At 35.8% G+C, this 20,933-nt stretch overlaps 1 protein-coding gene across 9 annotated transcripts in view; it reads right to left on the bottom strand.

The window, feature by feature from the left end:
- Nucleotides 1-20,933, bottom strand: part of LUZP2 (leucine zipper protein 2) — a 585,586-nt gene that overhangs the window by 189,531 nt on the left and 375,122 nt on the right. The window contains exons 6-7 of one of the 9 annotated variants that reach the window (XM_047426870.1): nucleotides 1,180-1,354; nucleotides 366-879 (exon numbers count right to left, since the gene is read on the bottom strand). The exons of 5 other annotated variants lie outside the window; for them this stretch is intronic. In XM_047426870.1, the coding sequence (XP_047282826.1) occupies nucleotides 1,190-1,354 (165 nt within the window). In that variant the 3' untranslated portion in view covers nucleotides 366-879; nucleotides 1,180-1,189. Of the gene's footprint in view, nucleotides 1-365; nucleotides 880-1,179; nucleotides 2,190-5,683; nucleotides 5,884-20,933 lie in introns of those variants that run through there. 3 more of the 9 variants (XM_047426869.1, XM_017017649.3, XM_047426871.1) reach the window with 3 other exon arrangements.

Here is a 20,933-nt window from a genome sequence, read left to right as displayed (position 1 = left end):
TGCTTCATTTGACAAAAGCTGAACATCTTAGACATGTATCTTTAAAAATATTTTTTCTACCTCTTGGTCTACATTGTGCTTCTTGGAAACAAAAAGGAAAAACAATTATAAATATGTGACAAAGTTAGGTGATGTACATTTTCCTAATGTTTTGGGACTCTTGAAAACCAGTGGAAAGTTTACAAACATCATTCTGTTCAGTATTTGCAAAACATCATTTAGTGTCAAGGAATTCTGTGATATTTCATATTTCTCCTTTACTCATTAACCTGTCATCTCTTTGAAGTTTAAAAACTATTATTCTTATGTTGTTATACATTCAGAAATGTCCTCAATTAACAACATAAGATAGATGTTCAAAAATGTTAGTTAAAATAATGAATTTAATAGCCCTTGAAAAGATTGTGACATCAGTCTGTAGCTCTTATGTATAAAATAAATGAAATATACACATTACTTGTTTTTCAGGATACATCTAGTAGTTGACTACCTAATTCAGCTTCATTCAAGAGATTAGCACTTGACTAGAAATAGCATAGGGCTTATCTATAAACAGAATGTTATGGAGAATAGAAACATTAACAAATAGAGTTATATATACGCTTTATTGAAGAGAAATAGGCTATTAATATATTTTAACTTTTTCTGGATGGTATAAATGTTGAATTATAAATTTTAATTTTTATAATAAGTGCTAATCGAGACATCACTGGGTATAATTGAGAGTTGTAAGAACTTTTAGGTCATCTACTCCAGTGGTGGCTAATTTGAATGTCTTTCGAGGCCAGACAGAGAACTTCAGCCAACAAGTCTTCAGGTGCTCCTTCCTATAGCAGATGGTCCAGTTCACAGCCACATCAGGATAAATATAGGCTGAATCTGGGAGAAATACACATTTTTCCTCACAGATCACAACCACAGAAGGTAAAAAAGGAGAAAGATACAGAGATTCTTAAGAAATAACAAGCAAACGAGTCTAGCTCCACAGTGAGAGCCTATCAAACTAGTAAGTCACGAGTGACCATGAGCCCTGGCTTCAGCTCCCAGTGGAACAGCAGCCAACCAGCCTGGAATACATACTCCTTTCCAAGAGCCAGCCTGCACTACCAGTCCCATGCCAGCTATACCTACTGTACTGGACACCCTGCTGATAATCAAAGCAAATAAGCCATTTTTCACCTCTTTTCCATTATAAATTCTCCCTTAGTAATCCTTTTGTGATTTTTGTATTGGAAATTGAGGGTTGGCTAATTGAAGTCAGATGTTCAGTGCAGAGTGTTGCAGCGTATCCCAATTTGTTGCCTTGTTTCTCTGTTCTCTCTTTGTATGATCTATGGAGACTCCAAAAAGTTATCTGGGGAAGAACAATGGCACATTTAACTCAGATTCTATTCCAGACAAGCTTATCAAACAATTTCTGTGGAACAAGTACAGTGTTATTCCTGATAGAATTCTGTCGAGATAGATAGGACACATAGGACTTATCAAAGAGGGAAGCCCGTCACCTTTATTAGTCTGGAACTTCTTTTTCTTCAATCAACAACATATGTGAACTTTCTTTTCTTGCTAGAAATATAGAATATATCTTCCTTTTGATTTTCGCATAAAGTATAATAATATAGCTTTATAGTAAAGTATTTAAATCTTCCCTTATTAGGAACCAAAAGGTGTTTTCCAGTTGTTCTTTAATTTCATAATGATATAATGAATGTGGGTGTATGTAACATAGTGTATATATGTGTATGTGTATATGTACATGTCAGTATGTATATATCTCCATATGTTTGTGATATGGCTTCCTTATAATTGTATTAGAGAAGTAGAATTGCTATGACTAATGATATTTTCACTTAAAATTTTTGTGGAAATGCTAAATTGCCTTATCACCAAAGTTGACAAGGGTATGCTTCATCACACTCTAGCTCACATTAGATACTGTCGGTTAAGTAGACTTTTGTCAATTTTAGGGGAAATAGTATTCTTTTGTTCTAATTTGTATTTCTTTTCTCACTGCATTAGCCAACCTCATTTTTGAACGTTTCTCAGCTATTTATAACTTTTTAACATTTGAGTTCCTTCCATGAATAAACGTAGAGTGATAATGTAAAGCAGTGTAACTGAAGAGATGCTTGCCATTTCACTGCAGTTGTATTTTCATCATAAGAGCAATAGAATTAAATTTGTATCACCTGCAAAAAAAAAAAAAAAAAAAAGAACTTTTACTCCTCCTGTAAATGGCCCTAAAATGCTTTATATTTTTTCTATATGTGATTTTAGAAATTTCTGTTAGCATATTCATATAAATATGTACATATGTATTTTCTTATTTGCACAAATTTTCATTGTGCATTATTAAACATGTGACTCTTATCTATGAAATAATATATCTCAGGATAAAGATGAATAAATCCAGATTGTGTGACTATCTCAAACAACCAGTTCATTTTTTGATGCCAGTAGGTAGAGTTACTAACACATTAGGAATTCATGTATGAGAACTTTTGATGATCCTCTTTAATGCTCCCCCACCTCCTTAACTTCAGCTTTCACAGCCGCAAAATTCTTATTCATAAATCAAGCCTACAAGATTGATTATAGTCAATGACTGCTAGTCAGTCATCCCAAGCAAATAACTAGTTTTAAATGGTGATTCCACTTGTTTAAGAGATTGCATCTGCATAGCTGAATACTGCTAGAATATCTGAAAACATCTATATTCTAGATTTTTTAAAGGATCTGCTAGAATTTGAATTAATCATGTTATTATTGTCATGTACTTCTTCTGTTTGTCATGTAATTAAGTTTGATAAACAGTAGAATAATTATTTTGATAACTACATATAATTGGTTTGTTATCACCTCTGTATTAACAGAATTTGAGACTCTGTATCTTTTCTCCCTGAGTATATGCTTGGTTACATTTTTATAATATATTTGCTCATTTATTAATTCACAATTACATGTTACAGATTATACACTTCTTAGAGGGAAATTCGTATATCATGTAATCTAATCTCCATCTGAATATACGGATTTCCATGGGGGTGGGGGAGAACAACTATTTCTTCATTATAGCAAATAAAATTTCACTTGAATTCCCTTTTGTTTATTCTGTCCAATTCTAAGGTGTTAAAGCAGAGAAATGAACATCATTTAACTTAAAGCATTTATGATATACTTGTACAATGCACCTGGATGAGCACAGGAAAGACTGTCACTCCACAACATAGATATCTTTGTGGCCATCCATAAATGGACAGTGATTATAATGTATGTCCATAATTTATTCTGGCAGTTGGTAATTCTGGGCAACAGTGTAAAGAAATGTTTCCGTAAAGCTAAATGTCATTGCCAGAGTTTAAAAATCAGAACATTTCAGTATTTTGAAATGCATCCAGAATTTGGGGATAATTAATTACAAGCAGCCTCAGCTGAGCCAACTGTGGGGCACAGGGGAGACTGTCCTCAAAGACCATACTGAGATTCTTCTCAGATGGTATATGCTTCAAAAACATGGTGGCACAGGACACTGAAAAGGGAATTCTGATCCTCAGACAATTTACCAATTTAACCTTTTCACTTATGATTAATGATCATTCTTCTTTATTTCTGAAACAATTATCATTTGACATTACTTAGGCATTGAAACAGATCACATAGTTTATCTGAGAATAGATTTTACTTAGAAAAAGAAGACCTGAATATGGAGAGAAAAATTTGGAACCTGGTAATGTCGTTTGCATCACCTCCTCACCTTGATAAAGCCTTGTCTTAGTACTAGTATATCCCAGATTTTTTAGTTACACGCCTCCAGTACATGCTTGATGTCATGCTTAAATATTTTTGCCCCCCACCCACATGTTACATAATCACATAGTTTTGTCACTTTCTTACGGTTAAGAACAGCAAGGAAGAACATTCAAGTAACCAAATTTATATTTTAGGCTAATGCCATATTTTACCAGGGTGAGTGAGAAAACATCCATCCCCTTTTGGCTTCTGTAAGTGGAAGGTAGACCCTGCATACCACCTATTTAGGGAATACCTCTCAATTGGATGGTGTATTAGTGTGTTTTCATAATGCTATAAAGAACTGTCTGAGACTGGGTAATTTATAAAGGAAAGAGTTTTAACTGACTCACAGTTCAGCATGGCTGGGGAGGCCTCAGGAAACTTACAATCATGGCTGAAGATGAAGGGGAAGCAAGGCACCTTCTTCACAAGGAGGCAGGAAGGAGCGGTGCCGAGTGAAGTGGGAAGAGCCCCTTACAAAACCATCAGATCTCCTGAGAACTTACCATCATGAGAACAACATGGGGGAAACCATCCCCCATGATTCAGTTACCTCCACCTGGTCTCTCCCTTGACACATGGAGATTATGGGGACTACAATTCAAGATGAGATTTGTGGGGGGACACAAAGCCTAACAATATCAAATGGTGTTCAGGTGTTGGTTAGCTTAAAAACAAATATTCCTACAACTTTTTGGGAACTCAGCATGCGTATGTGTCAGATCTGCCTAAAAATGTCGTGTAATATTTCCCACTCCTGTGTGGTAAAACCTGAATTTAAGTCAGAGGATGACAAAATATTTAATATAATTATATCCTCAATCTCATTTTGATTTTTGACTGGAAACTTAAAATATCATATTTGCAATATGGCTTACACATTAGCTCAAATCCAAAAAAAAACTTTTGGCTGTAAAACCAAAATGATCATAAATGCAGCATACTTTCACAATCTTACTCTATATTAATTGGAATATAATCATACCCAATAATGACAAAATCATGCATAAATGAATTTATTGGAAGGACTTTGTACAGAATGAAGAGAAAGCCTATGAATAAGGCTCAGAAAACAGGCAAGAACCAAGTAGGGGGAGGCATCTGCAGTCATAAGACAGGAATACAGTTCTTGTGACAGCTGAATGAAGGCTGTAAATCACTGTGCTTAATTAGAAAGTGGAATGATAAGGCCTCAATCAATTTTCAAGGTGAAAGTAATGATCTGGGACCATTTAAAATTTCCAAATATAATAAATTATGTAAATGTGTTTAACTACATTTTGTAGACTTAAATAAAATAAACCATTGTGGCCAGGCAGCTGAAAACATGCATTAATTTGTCCAAAGTGCAATTAAATTTAAACCAAGAGAAAATCACCTGCAGCAGTACCCAAAATAAAACCAGAGATCGCTGCATCTCACAGTGGAAAGCATCTACTATTTTGGAACTTCCTAAAACTGACTGTGCACCACTTTATATGACTGCTTGAGGTCCACATTTCAGTTTAAATGTGTTTTTCAAATGACTAGAAAATACATTTGCCCTTTTAAATATGTCATTTTACAATGGGAAATCTTATATCCTGTACTAAAGAGAGCAATAGGAGTTAGAAGGTAGCGAATTCTTATAATTTTATGTTGCCTCTGCATCCATTTTGAATACAAGTTTAACTTTCTCATGTCAGAACTAGGGCTCAGTTACCTTTGGCACAATTTCCAGTGTATACAACACCCAAATGGTTCAAGTCAGTGGCCAGAGATAATAACTTACAGGCACCATTTTGCCTAGCAGACTGGTGCCTGCTTTTCTGATACTTCCTTTAAAGAAATCATTCATTGCCAACAAACTTAAAATAACCCACACCTTATTCGCTTACATATACATTAGTACCTGTTGCCACGTGCTTGTATATATATTAGTGCCAGTTGCCATGTGCTTGCTGTCTCTCTGTCTGACCTTTCATCTCTGTCTTGACCTAGAAACAGAAGATTGTCCTCCAGATTCATTGCACATCCCTGCCAAGGATATGTAAGTAGAAAACCTTTTGAATTGTTTATGCTTTGGTGGTGTGTTATATTTGTGCCTTCCATCTGAAAACAAAACAAAACAAAACAAAACAAAATCAAAAAAACTAGGGGCTTCGCAGGCTGGGTTTTCCCCAGGATGCCAGGAAAACACAAGGTCCATAGCGTTCCCAGCAGCACAGTGAAAGAGGTCAGGCAGGCATAAACAGGTCAGACAAGAGCCAACAGGGCACCTGCTAGTATAACCAGCTCCCATGGGAGGAAACCCCTGGTCACAGATCAGGCAAATAGGCATTAGGACATTCACCAGGTAAAAGAAGTTTTCTGTTAAAGAGACACTAAATGCCCATGTTCAGCACCCCTTCATTTTCCATTAGTGACCTAATCATCTCTCAAAGTTAGAAAACTAATCACCAGTGTGATGGTATTAGCAGGCAGGGAACTTTGAGAGATGAACACAAACTTTCAGGTTATAGCATGCCTTATTAAAGAAATCTTAGGAAAATGGATGGCATTCTAGACTAGATCTAAACCATGTGTGTTTATTTCAGCAATTCTTAGATGCACAATTTTTCACTTTTTAATGTTTCAGGAATCAGGATGTGGTCTCCAGAATTACGTATACTTTCTTTAGTATTTATGGTTTCTTCCCCTTAAGAAGTTTAATAAATCAGACTAATGCATTTTAAAATTGATATCTTCTTACAATTTAAAGAATGTTCTTCTTATAAAATCAAAGGCAAAAAGGTAAAGCAATGGAAATAAATTTTTCTCCCAGCTAGAAAGGATTGGCAGTAGAGAAACTAGGGGAAAAATGAGAAACACATATATGGCATTAGTATATTTTCTTAGCTACATGGAAATAAAAAGTAGACTTCCAACATGGAAGGAGCTTCAATTATTTATAGAATTGTTTTGAGTTAATAATAGAGAAAAAGACCAAACTGAATCAGCCACCTAGGCTACATTCAGAGCTTTTGACAAGTGAAATACCTTTGGTCAAAGACTAAAATATATTATCTTTAAAATTAGAAAAACATAATATGCAAGTCATGAGAAAGATAATTAGTTGAAACTAAATATTTTTACTAAAAAGTATTTTTCAAATCATTCCTTTGTTTAAATAAATTATGTTTTTAATATACATACAGATTAATTTCTACTTTAATAGTCATATTTTTACAGAAAGATATAGAATTGAACACACATGAATAATAATTTAATTCTATAAATATTAACTAAAGCCACCACCAGCCAGCCATGGCATTATCCTACTGGTGGCAGATGTCCCAGTTGAGTGTAGACCTTGCCAATTTAAATTTTAAAGTGGTTGCAGATGTAACAAAAGTTTTACAGCTGCTCAAATATTTGTTGAAGTTATCTCAGATAGGGAATAGAATATGAACTTGGTTTTCTTGTATAGGAAATTTTAAGCATGCTTTATGAGGTTTCTATTCTTCACTTAGAATCGAATCAGCTCAAATATCTAGTGTTAGTTCCTTATCTCCCATAGACACTCAGCATCCACGTGTGTGAAAAAATGGAACACGTTTAGATAATCTCTTATACTACCTGCAGCTTCACGACTATTGCACTACCATTTAGGGGCATGAGAAACATGAGATGATGACTTTTCCTGATGTCAGGTAATATAAAATTGCAACACATTTCAATACACTGAGTAAACTAATTAGATATTCTCTGTGTGTTAATTAGCCTCATCTCACCCATACAATATCACTTTCCAAATAGTAGGCATATAATACAGCACAGTGGCTGGCTTCTTGGATCAGGACAACTAGACTTGGGTATGATTTCCTATAATCTCTATGACTTTCAACACATTTTGTAACATCTTGAGTCCTTGTTTTCTCTTTCATAAAATGAGGAAAATATCATGACCAACTTCAACGGGTGGTTGTATTAAATAAGTAAAGCATGTATATCAGAAGCTGGCACAATGTAAGCACTCGATACATTTTAGCTCTTATTATTACAATAAAATTGACTTCATTTTGTAAACATAAAGAAGAGTCATCTTTTTTGATGATTAGGACAACTTTCCAAGAAGGTTGAGGGCTTTGACATCACAATTTATAAGGCATTATTATTTTAGTAGACTGCAGGCAAGTTTCTAGTTAATGAGTCCTCTAATTTCTCTTATAGATAAAGAAGAGTTTATCATAAAAGTAATTTCACATGATGATATGTCTCTCTGTCTGATTTGCTCTTTCTCTAAAACAGGCACTTCTCTTCGAAACAGAACCTGCTTCTTCTGTTATTAATAATTCCCCTCCCTTATCAGAGAGTTATAATTCTGATAGGTTAAAAATGTAGCTAAAGATACAGAATAGCAATCACCCTAAAATCAATTTTGTGAGAAAAATACTCATATTCCTGTCAACATTTATAAAGACTTTCTATGTTCTGGGAATGGGGCAAAAACAACCCATTTCTTCAAGGAGTTCACAATCTATGAAGGAACCTGACAGTAAAACTACAAGTCTCTGGAGAAGCACCTATTTAGGAAGTGACACTCAGCTGTCTTTAGATGTGTAAAGGAGTTGGGCAAATAATAGGAAATGGCAAGAGGGGGAAAAGTTTGTACTAGTTCTAGTAGTTCTAGTTCTTGTAGTTCTACAGGATATTCAGTGAAATCATGCATAAGAGACTGACGAACGAAGAGAGATTAAACTCAAAAGGTGCATTGAGGCCAGCCATATAAGACCATAAGATGTGTTATGTAATTCACATGAATTTTGAAAAGTTCACTCCAATATAGGGTAAGTGAGTTTAGTTTTAGGCTGTATTTTATAGGGAGAAAAAATGACTAGGTGTCGAATGTATGTCTGTGTTTCAACTAGCATTTACGGAGTGTTTACTTTGTGCCAGGTATTCTACAGTATGCTTTATATAAGAATTCATTAAATCCTCAGTGCAGTACCATAAGGTAAATTTCTTAATCAGCTCCATTTTAGAAATGACAGACTTGTAGCTTCCTTTATTTAATCTGTTTATGGTCAAAATGTACATACACTTAAAATTTGGCTTTGAGTGTCTAATCCCAGATGCATGTAACTTTCAACAGCCAGTCCAATCCCACCAGGAAAGAAAGTAATTTATGGTTTATAAAATAGCTTTTTCCTTAGAGTTCCAACTGTGCAGAATAAATTTGCTATAAAATCATTAGGAAAGATCAGTTAATTCACCTGTAATTACTCCTAAAGATATTCTCACCCCAATCTTCCCAGTTAAGGCTTGAACACCTGCCACCCTCTCTTTGCAATTCTACTGGGAATTCCAGCATCAATAAAGCCACTTCATTCTAGAAACACAGTTGAGGGACTAGAGTAATTAAGAGCAGACCTCCCACTTTTTTCCACTTCATGACAGAACCGAATTCTACTTATGGAGTTTTACCAATATGTGTGTTAACACTCTTTAGGCACAGGATATAAAGAGTTCTACATATTTCCAAATTCAACTATAAGTTCTACAGGTACATAAGACATAGCAAACTGTCGTTTAAGACAAATGCTATTAACTTTAAAAACTGTTTCATTCAATGTTTGCTAGTCAGTAAATAAAACATACCTAATGACTGAAGGACATAAATGCTTGCTTACAAGAATAAATTTAGACCTAACTTATTGTTTATGAATTAATTGAAGCTTGCCAAATATTGACTGTAGTGAGAAATGTCTTCTTAAATTATTGCTAACGAAAATTTCATACTGCAGTTCAAGCCAAACAATAAAGTTTAGCTGCTATAAATTTCAAAGAAAGATGATTTATTTAATACTTGGGGGTTATTTTTTATCCCAGCATCATTAGAAAATTCCCATGGAGTGGCAGTAAGAAGAATATGCTCATCATTTGCTTTTTTGTTCCAAGTGCAGGTAAGTTATCCCTGCTGATAGTCAGTTTGAGTTGATTGGGGCATTGATAGAATAAACATTTTGTTTTACTGTTATCATAAATCTGACTCCACTAATAAGGGGCATGTCTTGTCATAGTGAAAAGAGAACAAATTTTCTTCCTACGCTCTTAACGTACATTTAGTATGAGATTCTGCACATGTATGTATCCATTAAAAAATTTACTTTAAAAAAACGTTTGCTAACTTTGAATAATGACCTCATTGTTAAATCCATGGGAAATCCTTGGTTCTTGTCTTTGTTGTCTTATCATCAGCATTTGACATAGTTGATCATCCTTGAGATATTTTCCCACTGGTCTTAGAAGACATATTTTCTCTTTCTTCTCTTTTCTTTTTTTCTCTTTTCTTTTCTTTTCTTTCCTTCCTTCCTTCCTCCATCTTTCTTTCTCTTTCTTTCTTCCTTTCTTTCTCTTTCTTTCTTTCGTTCTTTCTTTCTTCTTTCTTTCTCTTTCTTTTTCTTTCCTTCTTTTTCTTTATTTTCTTTCTTCCTTTTATCTTTGTTTCTCTCTCTCCCTTCTCATTCCCTCCCTCCCTCCCTTCTTCCCTTCCTTCCTTTCTTCCTTTCTTCCTTCTCCCGTTGCACTAAAAAGCAATGAGTTACCTAGTCATGAGAAGACATGGATGGATTATAAATGCATATTACTAACTGAAAGAAGCCCATATGAAAGGGTACATGCTTATTATAATCTAACTGTACAACATTTTGAAAAAAGCGAAACTTACCGAAGGTTAAGAGGGAGGAAGGAATAGACATAGCAAGGAATTTTATGTTAGTGAAACTACTCTGTATAATACTACAATGATGGATACATGTCATTATACATTAATCTAAACACACAGGATGTACAGAATGTAGAACACCAAGAGCATATCCTAATGTAAACTATGGTTTGGGGGTGATAACGACGTTTCAATGTTGGTTTATTGATTGTAATACATGTACCTCTTTGGTGTGGGATGTTGAGTGAAGAAGATGTGAGTGTGTGAGAGAAAGGAGCATATCAGAACTCCGTACTTGATTTTTCTGTGAACCTAAAACTTCTCCAAAATTCTTTTAAAAAGATTACTAAAAATAAATATACAAACCTTGTGAACTTTAAAAAATTCTCATCTCAAAATCTACAGAACAATAGACAATATATTAACTATTTAAAGTATGTTGGACCTCTCATGTAAGATATGTATTCATTGAGAAGTGATATCACTATGACTGAATACAGAGGTGGTATTAATAAAAATATTTTTACAAAATTATAATAAAACTGCCTTTAATTACATGAAGCGACCTGATACCAATGAGAGCTATCTGAAAGCTCCTAAAAGAGCAGATTCATAGCTAAGAATTTAAGATCTAATTAAATAAGGAATTGAGTAACAGATAACAAATAAAATCATGAATATTCACTTTGTTGTTTGCTATAATAAAACAAATAAACACATTAAATAAATAGGTTATTAGAAATGATTTTATATGCACATATTTTACAAGTATACATATTTTTAAAAAGTAAAATTTATACAATTGTATTTTTCTTTTTTGGTCTTCATAAAAATTTTATAAAATCTATTCACAGCAATTTTAATATTACACTTGTAAAAATATTTCATTTTATTGAAAATATCATGACTATTAACAAACACTTTATTCCATTTGAATTTGTATTTCTGTTGAAATTTTTGATGGTTATTTTCATTATATGATCCAACATTTGGACTTCTACTCCTAACATTGTGTTCCCAGCCAGAAGTGGTGAGTAAATGTTACTTTTCTCTGAATATTTGAGTAATCAGAATACTTTCAACTTCCTCTGATTATTCAAGTGGCTCATTTACATCTCAGGTAGACAAAGTCACGAGCCTTAACTTTGAGCATAAAGATCTCATGCAAAGGTGTACCTCTATTGTCCCTCTTTAGACATGACTCATCCATCCTTGCAGATGCAGACAAATACTCAGACCTAACTTTATCTCTATTTCATTATCAAACTTCTCTTGCTAAGACGAATGTTCTGTCTCTCTCTCTTTTTTTTTTTTTGGCAATTACTCAGTCTCTCCTTTTTATTAAAATATCTTTATCAAGCATGACTCTTACTTTCCTTCAGCTAAACCAAAGGCATCTCAGTTGAGTTAAAAATAACATAATTTCACTTTAAATGTACTGGCTTGTTAAAACTTGAAATAAACTCATAAGTTATGATTACTACAAATAATTAAATTCATATACCACAGACAGATTAAGTGAATCTCTTAAGCTTACCTGGCAACCAAAAAACAAAGCCAAATTTCAAACCCTGTTCTTGACCTACATCAGATCTTCTGTCTCCAAAGCCCAGATTCATACAAATTGAATTCTTGTCTTCTTCCCAAAATTGCATGTGTGCAGCAATTATTGCCATGCTATGAGTCTACAAAGTGCTTTCCATAGTACAGATACATTTGAAAGGACATATTACTGCCTGCAATAGTGCCAGAGGGAAGAAAAAGAAAACAAAATAAATAAATAAGTAAATTTGAAGCAGCTAATAGGTGTCTAGCATTGGGTAAAACATCCGAGTTCCAAAACACAAACACACACATACACACACACATACACATACACACACACACACACATTCTTCACCATCTAGAAATTTATAATCTAACACGTGTAGAGAATTGGAGACAACCTACAGCCTTAAGAGATCTCAACCCACAGCAAGTTTGCTAATCTAATAAATTCTACAGAGACTTTCTTCCTGTAAGCCAGTGAATCTCAAAATGTGTTCTCTGGGCCAATAGCATGAGTATCACCTCAGTACTCAGAAATGCAAGTTCTAGAAAAGGGACAGAGCAAGATAGCCAAACAGGATGCTCCACCAACCGTCCCCCTAACAAAGACACCAGTTTAGCAACTCTCTACACAAAAATTCACTTTCTTACCAAAAATCAAGTGAGCATTCACAGTACCTAGTTTTAACTTCATATCACTGAAAGGGGCACCGAAGAAGTAGGAAAACAGTGTTGAATTACCAATGCCACCCCTCTCCCATGCCCTGGCAGCAGCCTCATGGCGTGGAGAGAGTCTAAATTTGGGAGAGGGAGAGCGCAGCAATTGTGAGACAATGCACTAAACTCAGTGTCACAGCAGAAAGCAACACTGGGCTGAACTCAGCAGATGTTTACCCATGGGGGGAGTATTAAACCAGTCCTAGCCAGAGGGGAATCACCTATGCCAGCAATCCAACCTTGAGTTTTGGCAGGCATCACCACCATGGCCTAAAGTGCTTTGGGGCTCTAAATAAATTGGAAAGGAAGTCTAGGGCACAAGGACTACAACTCCTAGGCAAGCCCTATTGCTGAGCTGGGCTCAGAGACGGTGGACATGGGGAGCATGTGACATACTGAGACACCAGCTGGGGTAGCTGTGAAAGTGCTTGTGCCATTCCTCTCTCAACCACAGACTGCACACTTCAGGAGCTGAAAAGAGACCCTTCCTTCTGTATGAGGAGAGGAGAGGGTAGATTAAAGAGGACTTTGTCTTGCAATTTGGATACAAGCTCAGCCACAGAATAGGGCACCAGTAAAAATTGTGAGGCTCCCTTTCCAGCCCCATCAAAAAGTGGGCAAAGGATATGAACAGACACTTCTCAAAAGAAAACATATTAATGGCCAACAAACATATGGAAAAAAAGCTCAACATCACTTATCATTAGAGAAATGCGAATCAAAACCAGAAAGAGATACCATCTCACGCCAGTCAGAATGGCAATTATTAAAAAGTCAGGAAACAGTAGATGCTGGTGAGGCTGTGGAGAAATAGGAATGCTTTTACATGGCTGGTGGGAATGTAAATTAGTTCAACTATTGTGGAATTCAATGTGGCGATTCCTCAAGGATCCAGAACCAGAAATACCATTTGGCACAGCAATCCCATTATTGAGTATATAGCAAAATGAATATAAATCATTCTACTCTAAAGACATACGTACATGCATATTTATTGCAGCACTGTTTACAATAGCAAAGTCATGGAACCAACTAAAATGCCAATCAATGATAGACTGGATAAAGAAAATGTGGTACATATACACCATGGAATACTACACAGCAATAAAAATAAATGAGATCAGCTGGGCAGGGTGCCTCACGCCTGTAATCCCAGTACTTTGGGAGGCCTAGGCGGGTGGATCACGAGGTCAGGAGATCAAGACCATCCTGGCTAACACAGTGAAAACCTGTCTGTACTAAAAATACAAAAAATTAGCCGGGCATGGTGGTGGGCGCCTGTAGTCCCAGCTAATGGTGTGAACCCAGGAGCCGGAGCTTGCAGTGAGCTGAGATTGAGCCACTGTACTCCAGTCTGGGTGACAGAGACTCTATCTCAAAAATAAATAAATAAATAAAAATATAAATAAATAAATTAGATCATGTCTTTTGCAGGGACATGGATGAAGCTGGAAGCTATCATCCTCAGCGACTACCACAGGAACAGAAAACCAAACACCACACATTCTCATTCAAAATTGGGAGTTGAACAATGAGAACACATGGACAGATGGAGGGGAACAGCATACACCAGGGCCTGTTAGGGTGTGGGGGGCAAAAGGAGGGAACATAGAGGACGGGTCAATAAGTGCAGCAAAGCGCCATGGCACAGGTATACCTACGTAAAAAACCTGTACTTTCTGCACATGTGTCCCGGAACTGAAACTAAAATAAAAATTAAAAATAAAATAAAATAAAAACTAAAAGGGATAATAACAGAAAACTTCTCAAACTTAGGGAAAGATATTAATAGCTAAGTACAAGAAGGTTATAGAACACTAAGTAAAGTTAACCCGAAGAAGACTATCACAATGTATTTAATAGTCAAACTCCCAAAGGTCCAGGAAAACAAAAGGATCCTAAAAGCAGCAAGAGAAAAGAAGCAAATAACATACAAAGGTGCTCCAATACACCTGGTGGCAGATTTTTCAGGGTAAACCTTACAGGATAGGAGAGAGTGGTATGACATACTTAAAGAGCTGAGAGAACACAACTTTTTACCCTAGAAAATATACCCAGTGAAAAATATCTTTCAAATATGAAGGGGAAATAAAGACTTTCCCAGACAAATAAAAGCTGAGGGATTTCATCAACACCAGACCTGTCCTACAAGAAATGCTAAAGAGAGTTCTTCAATCTGAAAGAAAAGGGCATTAATGTACAATAATTACCTGAAGGTACAAAACTTACTGGTAATTGTAAGTTCACCAAAAAAAAAAAAAAAAACACAGAATATTACAACACCGTAACTATCATGTGTAAGTTACTCTTACCAAGTAGGAAGACTAAAAGATAAATTACAACCTAAGTGTCCATCAACAGATGAAGAGATAACGAAAATGTGGTATATATACACAATGGAGTACTGTTTAGCCGTAAAAAATATGAGATCCTGTTATTTACAGCAACATGGATGGTACCGGAAGTCACTATATTAAGTAAAATAAGCCAGGCACTGAAAGACAAATATCACGTGTTCTCATCTATTTGTGAGGACTAAAAATTAAAACAATTGAACTCATGGAGATTGACAGTAGAAGGATGCTTACCACAGCCTGAGAAGAGTAGTTGGGGTGTGGGAGTGATGTGAGAGGGAGGTGGGGATGGTTAATGAGTACAAAAATATAGTTAGAAAAACTGAATAAGACTTAGTATTTGATAGCACAACAGGGTGACAATAATCAATAATAAATTAATTGTACATTTTAAAATAACTAAGAGTATAATTGGTTTGTTTGTAACACAAAGGATAAATGTTTGAGGAGGTGGATACCCCATTTTCCATGATGTGATTACTTTACATTGCATGCCTCTGTTAAAACATCTCATGTACCCCACAAATATATATACTTACTATGTACCCATAAAAATTTAAAACATAAAATTAAAAAATACATATTTTTAAGAGAGTCTTAAAGCTTAGAGTTGGAGGTTGATTTTTTTCTTATCCAACTTTCTCTACATACCTTAGCATATAGTAAGATCTATATCAGAGAGTTAATGACTTACTCTCACGAATAATGATTTATAAAATATTCACTAGTAGTACAAATAAATACAAGACTGTTTACTTGAAAAGTTGCAGGAATTTTTATCAGACAATTTTCAGGCATATTTATCACTTGTACTTCTCCTAACAATCTTATGAAAGAGATAACACAATGATCATTTTGCAAGTATGATAGCTAGGGTTCTGCACTTCACATTATAGTATTACATATTTCTAATCCTGGATATTTATTTGATGCTTTTATTAGTTAGAATAAATTGGATTTAGCTATGTGAGATAGAAACCCCAAATAGCAGAGTGTTACACTAAAAAGGAATTTCTTTCTTTTTCTGAATTTCTGACATAAAGTCAGGTGTTGTGACTCTGTTACTTGAAGGTGTTAAGAACCAGACCCCTTCTCATTTGATGCGTTGCTACCTCTATAATGTTGTCCGTTCCTGTTTGGTCCATGATACCCTCATCTCTATGTCTGTGTTCTACCATCAGGGAAGCATAAAAGAAAAAGAGGAGTGTACTTCAAGGAGAACTACAAACCACTTCTCAATGAAATAAAAGAGGATACAAACAAATGGAAGAACATTCCAGGCTCATGGGTAGGAAGAATCAATATCATGAAAATGGCCATACTGCCCAAGGTAATTTATAGACTCAATGCCATCCCCATCAAGCTACCAATGACTTTCTTCACAGAATTGGAAAAAACTACTTTAAAGTTCATATGGAACCAAAAAAGAGCCCGCATCGCCAAGTCAATCCTAAGCCAAAAGAACAAAGCTGGAGGCATCACACTACCTGACTTCAAACTATACTACAAGGCTACAGTAACCAAAACAGCATGGTACTGGTACCAAAATAGAGATATAGATCAATGGAACAGAGCAGAGCCCTCAGAAATAACGCCGCATATCTACAACTATCTCATCTTTGACAAACCTGAGAAAAACAAGCAATGGGGAAAGGATTCCCTATTTAATAAATGGTGCTGGGAAAACTGGCTAGCCATATGTAGAAAGCTGAAACTGGATCCCTTCCTTACATCTTATACAAAAATTAATTCAAGATGGATTAAAGACTTAAATGTTAGACCTAAAACCATAAAAACCCTAGAAGAAAACCTAGGCATTACCATTCAGGACATAGGCATGGGCAAGGGCTTCATGTCTAAAACACCAAAAGCAACAAAAGCCAAAATTGACAAATGGGATCTAATTAAACTCAAGAGCTTCTGCACAGCAAAAGAAACTACCATCAGAGTGAACAGACAACCTACAGAATGGGAGAAAATTTTCGCAACCTACTCATCTGACAAAGGGCCAATATCCAGAATCTACAATGAACTCAAACAAATTTACAAGAAAAAAACAAACAACCCCATCAAAAAGTGGGCAAAGGACATGAACAGACACTTCTCAAAAGAAGACATTTATGCAGCCAAAAAACACATGAAAAAATGCTCACCATCACTGGCTATCAGAGAAATGCAAATCAAAACCACAATGAGATACCACCTCACACCAGTTAAAATGGCAATCATGAGAAAGTCAGGAAACAACAGGTGCTGGAGAGGATTTGGAGAAATAGGAACACTTTTACACTGTTGGTGGGACTGTAAACTAGTTCAACCATTGTGGAAGTCAGTGTGGCGATTCCTCAGGGATCTAGAACTAGAAATACCATTTGACCCAGCCATCCCATTACTGGGTATATATCCAAAGGACTATAAATCATGCTGCTATAAAAACACATGCACACGTATGTTTATTGCGGCACTATTCACAATAGCAAAGACTTGGAACCAACCCAAATGTCCAACAATGATAGACTGGATTAAGAAAATGTGGCACATATACACCATGGAATACTATGCAGCCATAAAAAAGGATGAGTTCATGTCCTTTGTAGGGACATGGATGAAATTGGAAATCATCATTCTCAGTAAACTATTGCAAGAACAAAAAACCAAACACCACATCTTCTCACTCATAGGTGGGAATTGAACAATGAGAACACATGGACACAGGAAGGGGAACATCACACTCTGGGGACTGTTGTGGGGTGAGGGGAGGGGGGAAGGATAGCTTTAGGAGATATACCTAATGCTAAATGACGAGTTAATGGGTGCAGCACACCAGCATGGCACATGTATACATATGTAACTAACCTGCACATTGTGCACATGTACCCTAAAACTTAAAGTATAATAATAATAAAATAAAAAAAAAGAGGAGTGTAAATACTTTTCCTTAATGGATACAAATTGAAAGGGGCTAGCGTCTCCTCTGTTTATATACCAGTAGCCAGAACTTAGGAACATGGCCCCAGCAAGCTTCAAAGGATGCTGGGAAATATTTATCATGGATGATAATTTGCTCAGACGAAAGTAAAATATATTTTTAGAATAGAGAGAAGAGCTATTTTGGGAAAAAACTATCAATATTTGCCACAGTTCATCACTCTTTTCTCATCCCAATTGAGGAACTGGATCTTAACTCTTAAAATAGAAAATGAAAAGGGGTAAATAACACATTTTCAGTAATAACGTTAATTAGCAGAATGCATGAGAAGCATCTTTTTCAGCAGCTAACATTAGTTCAACAAGTGCCCCACACTCCATGAGTCTGCAAGGAATCAGTTAAGAACTCTTGTGTTGTTTCCAAGGCACTTATCCATGTGATGAGAAAGTACTTGTATCACAGATGAAGGACTTAGTCAATATTTCTTACACTGGGGCTATTAGGGATATGGCTGTGCTGCAGTCAAGTACAGGCCGAGGTCAACATCCGGTGCAGCATGGCACAGTGGGATTGGAGTGCAGGCATACAGTCCTGTGCATTATATAATCAGTTATGTAACCATGTTATGGGTGGGCTCATCACCTGACTCTGAGCCACTGTTGCCTGTGAGGTCCATAAATGCCTCACCGACACTGTGAGAGGTGGCATATAATAAAGCCATGTTTCACCTGCCTACAGCCCCCTGAGTGTTCTTTCAACTGCCCGCCACCCATCTACCAACTCCCCTTGGACCCCAGCTCAGGTTGGAACCTGACAGGGGCCCTCGAATCACCTTCCCAGGAAGCAACTAGGGTACTTGTTAATAAAACAGAATCTTGGTCCCAGGCCATATTGGGCAAATGAGAATCTCTAGCCATGTGGCCCAAAAACCTTCATTTTAGCATTGTTCCCAGGTGAGTCTTACGCACACACAAGCTTTAAAACCACTGTAAAGCTGGAAGAATAAATGGAGAGAAATTAATTATCTCACAGTCTATCTTACTGTATCTCTTCCCATTAATAGTTATTCTACAGTATCTGCAGGATGGTTGATCTTTTTTTTCTATGGTTGCTAATCCCTGTCAGGTGTTAGAGCTCAAGAGGAAGATCTACAGAATCATTAAAACCAGTTAAGTTTCACAGTTACTATTTTATACAATTTTCTTAACAGCCCTGCAAGAAAGCTAGCAAGATGTAGTTTTTCTATTTAACAAACAAGTTAACTAAACTGACACTCAGAGAACTCAAGGGACTTGTTCAATGTCACACAGCTTTTCAAAGGCAGAGATAAAATGTAGATCATTATCTAAACCCAGGCCCTGGGCTCTTTCTCATCTTCTTGTAATTGTCTCCCAAATAATAAGGAGTGTGAGAGCATGGCCTCAAGTATTCAGTTTAAGCTTGGCCACCTCTGACCCATGAGGATGTTTATTTTGACACATCTCTCCTCAGTGCCTGCAATTTATCAGAGAAGGTTCACTAAGCTATTTTTAATGAATCAAATAATATCTGAAGTCAAAGGGTTATCTGAAGGAAAAAGGGAGGAAAGTCATACTTAGCGAATGGCTGCTCCGAACACTGAGCAAGGCTTTTCATATAATGACAATGCAACAATTCACACAAACTCCAAAGGCCAACATTTTTGTCACCCTACCATTCTGACTTATGCTGGGCTTATTATATATAAATGATCTGTGATCCTGAATGTACTTTCTTCTAATTATTTCAAAAATTTGAAAAATATTTACTACATAAGGAATTCATGATAGAGGTAGGATTTTGAAATTACTAAATACCATTTCACTTTCAAAATTCTGCAAGACTTACAACTTGCTCAATTCTTGTGACCACATTTTATTCTTCTTGTGTTGCCTGCTGTGATCTGTGCTTTTAGACTAGCACTGGGGTTTGAAAGCATTAGAGTCTGTGAATGAATTGTTATCACATCTGTCTTAATTGCATTTCCAGCTGCTCCTGTGGTGTGCACTGTACATTGCTGATTAGACAAGAACAAGAGAAAATTTTTTTCTAATAGTGTTTCTCCTTACAGTCAAAATCAAGGCATTTTCAATTTTTATTTGATAGAGTGTTACAGAGGGAAAAATGTAAAACAGAATTCACAAGATGTATGTTCTAGTCTAAAGTCTCCCATTTACAAGCTGTCACCATGGGCATATCTGTACTGTGACATTTCTAAGCCTTGGTTTCTCCATCTGTAATGTATGCTTCTTGACTCTGTTGCTGTGGGAATAAGAGGAAACAAAGAATGTGCAAATGCTTTGTAAATAAAAAAAGCAAAATTTTGCATATGCCATATAGTCATATGTCACTGATACTGGAATTTAAACTAAAACCCACAGGGTGTAGGATTTTCCTAAAATATTAGATTTACTGTTTGATTAAAAAAAATCCATAAGTGCTTCTACTCCTTCCATATGCCTAAATTGCTCTCCATTTTGTTGAGTTTAAAATGGTGGATGAAAACACACAGGAAGAGAGGACTATTGAAGAAGTGATAGGTAATTAACATTTTAAATATGCTCTTTAATTTTCCAAAATATTTTAATCCCCTTGAATGGTTTAATAGTTGCACTACTGAGCTGCTACAGCCAGGGCAGGGAACAAAGCTTTTAGATTAGGTAATACAGCTGAGACAGCAGCAAATAGAGCAAGCAAATACAGCGTGAAATCATTCCAGATGGATATAAGTACCCATAATTAGTAGCAAACATTGTGCAGAGCATATTAGAAGAACAAACCTCCTTCATCACAATACTGAATTAGACTAGCACTGGTATATAAGGTGAATTTGCAGTAATTGTAAGTAAAGACTGAGAAAAATTCACCGATAAGAATAACTACTCTAATA

This window comes from Homo sapiens, chromosome 11 (genome assembly GCF_000001405.40).
Source record: "Homo sapiens chromosome 11, GRCh38.p14 Primary Assembly".
Classification (NCBI taxonomy): Eukaryota; Metazoa; Chordata; class Mammalia; order Primates; family Hominidae; genus Homo; species Homo sapiens.
The sequence above is the reverse complement of the archived record's forward strand: the minus strand, read 5'-3'. Positions and strand labels throughout refer to the sequence as shown.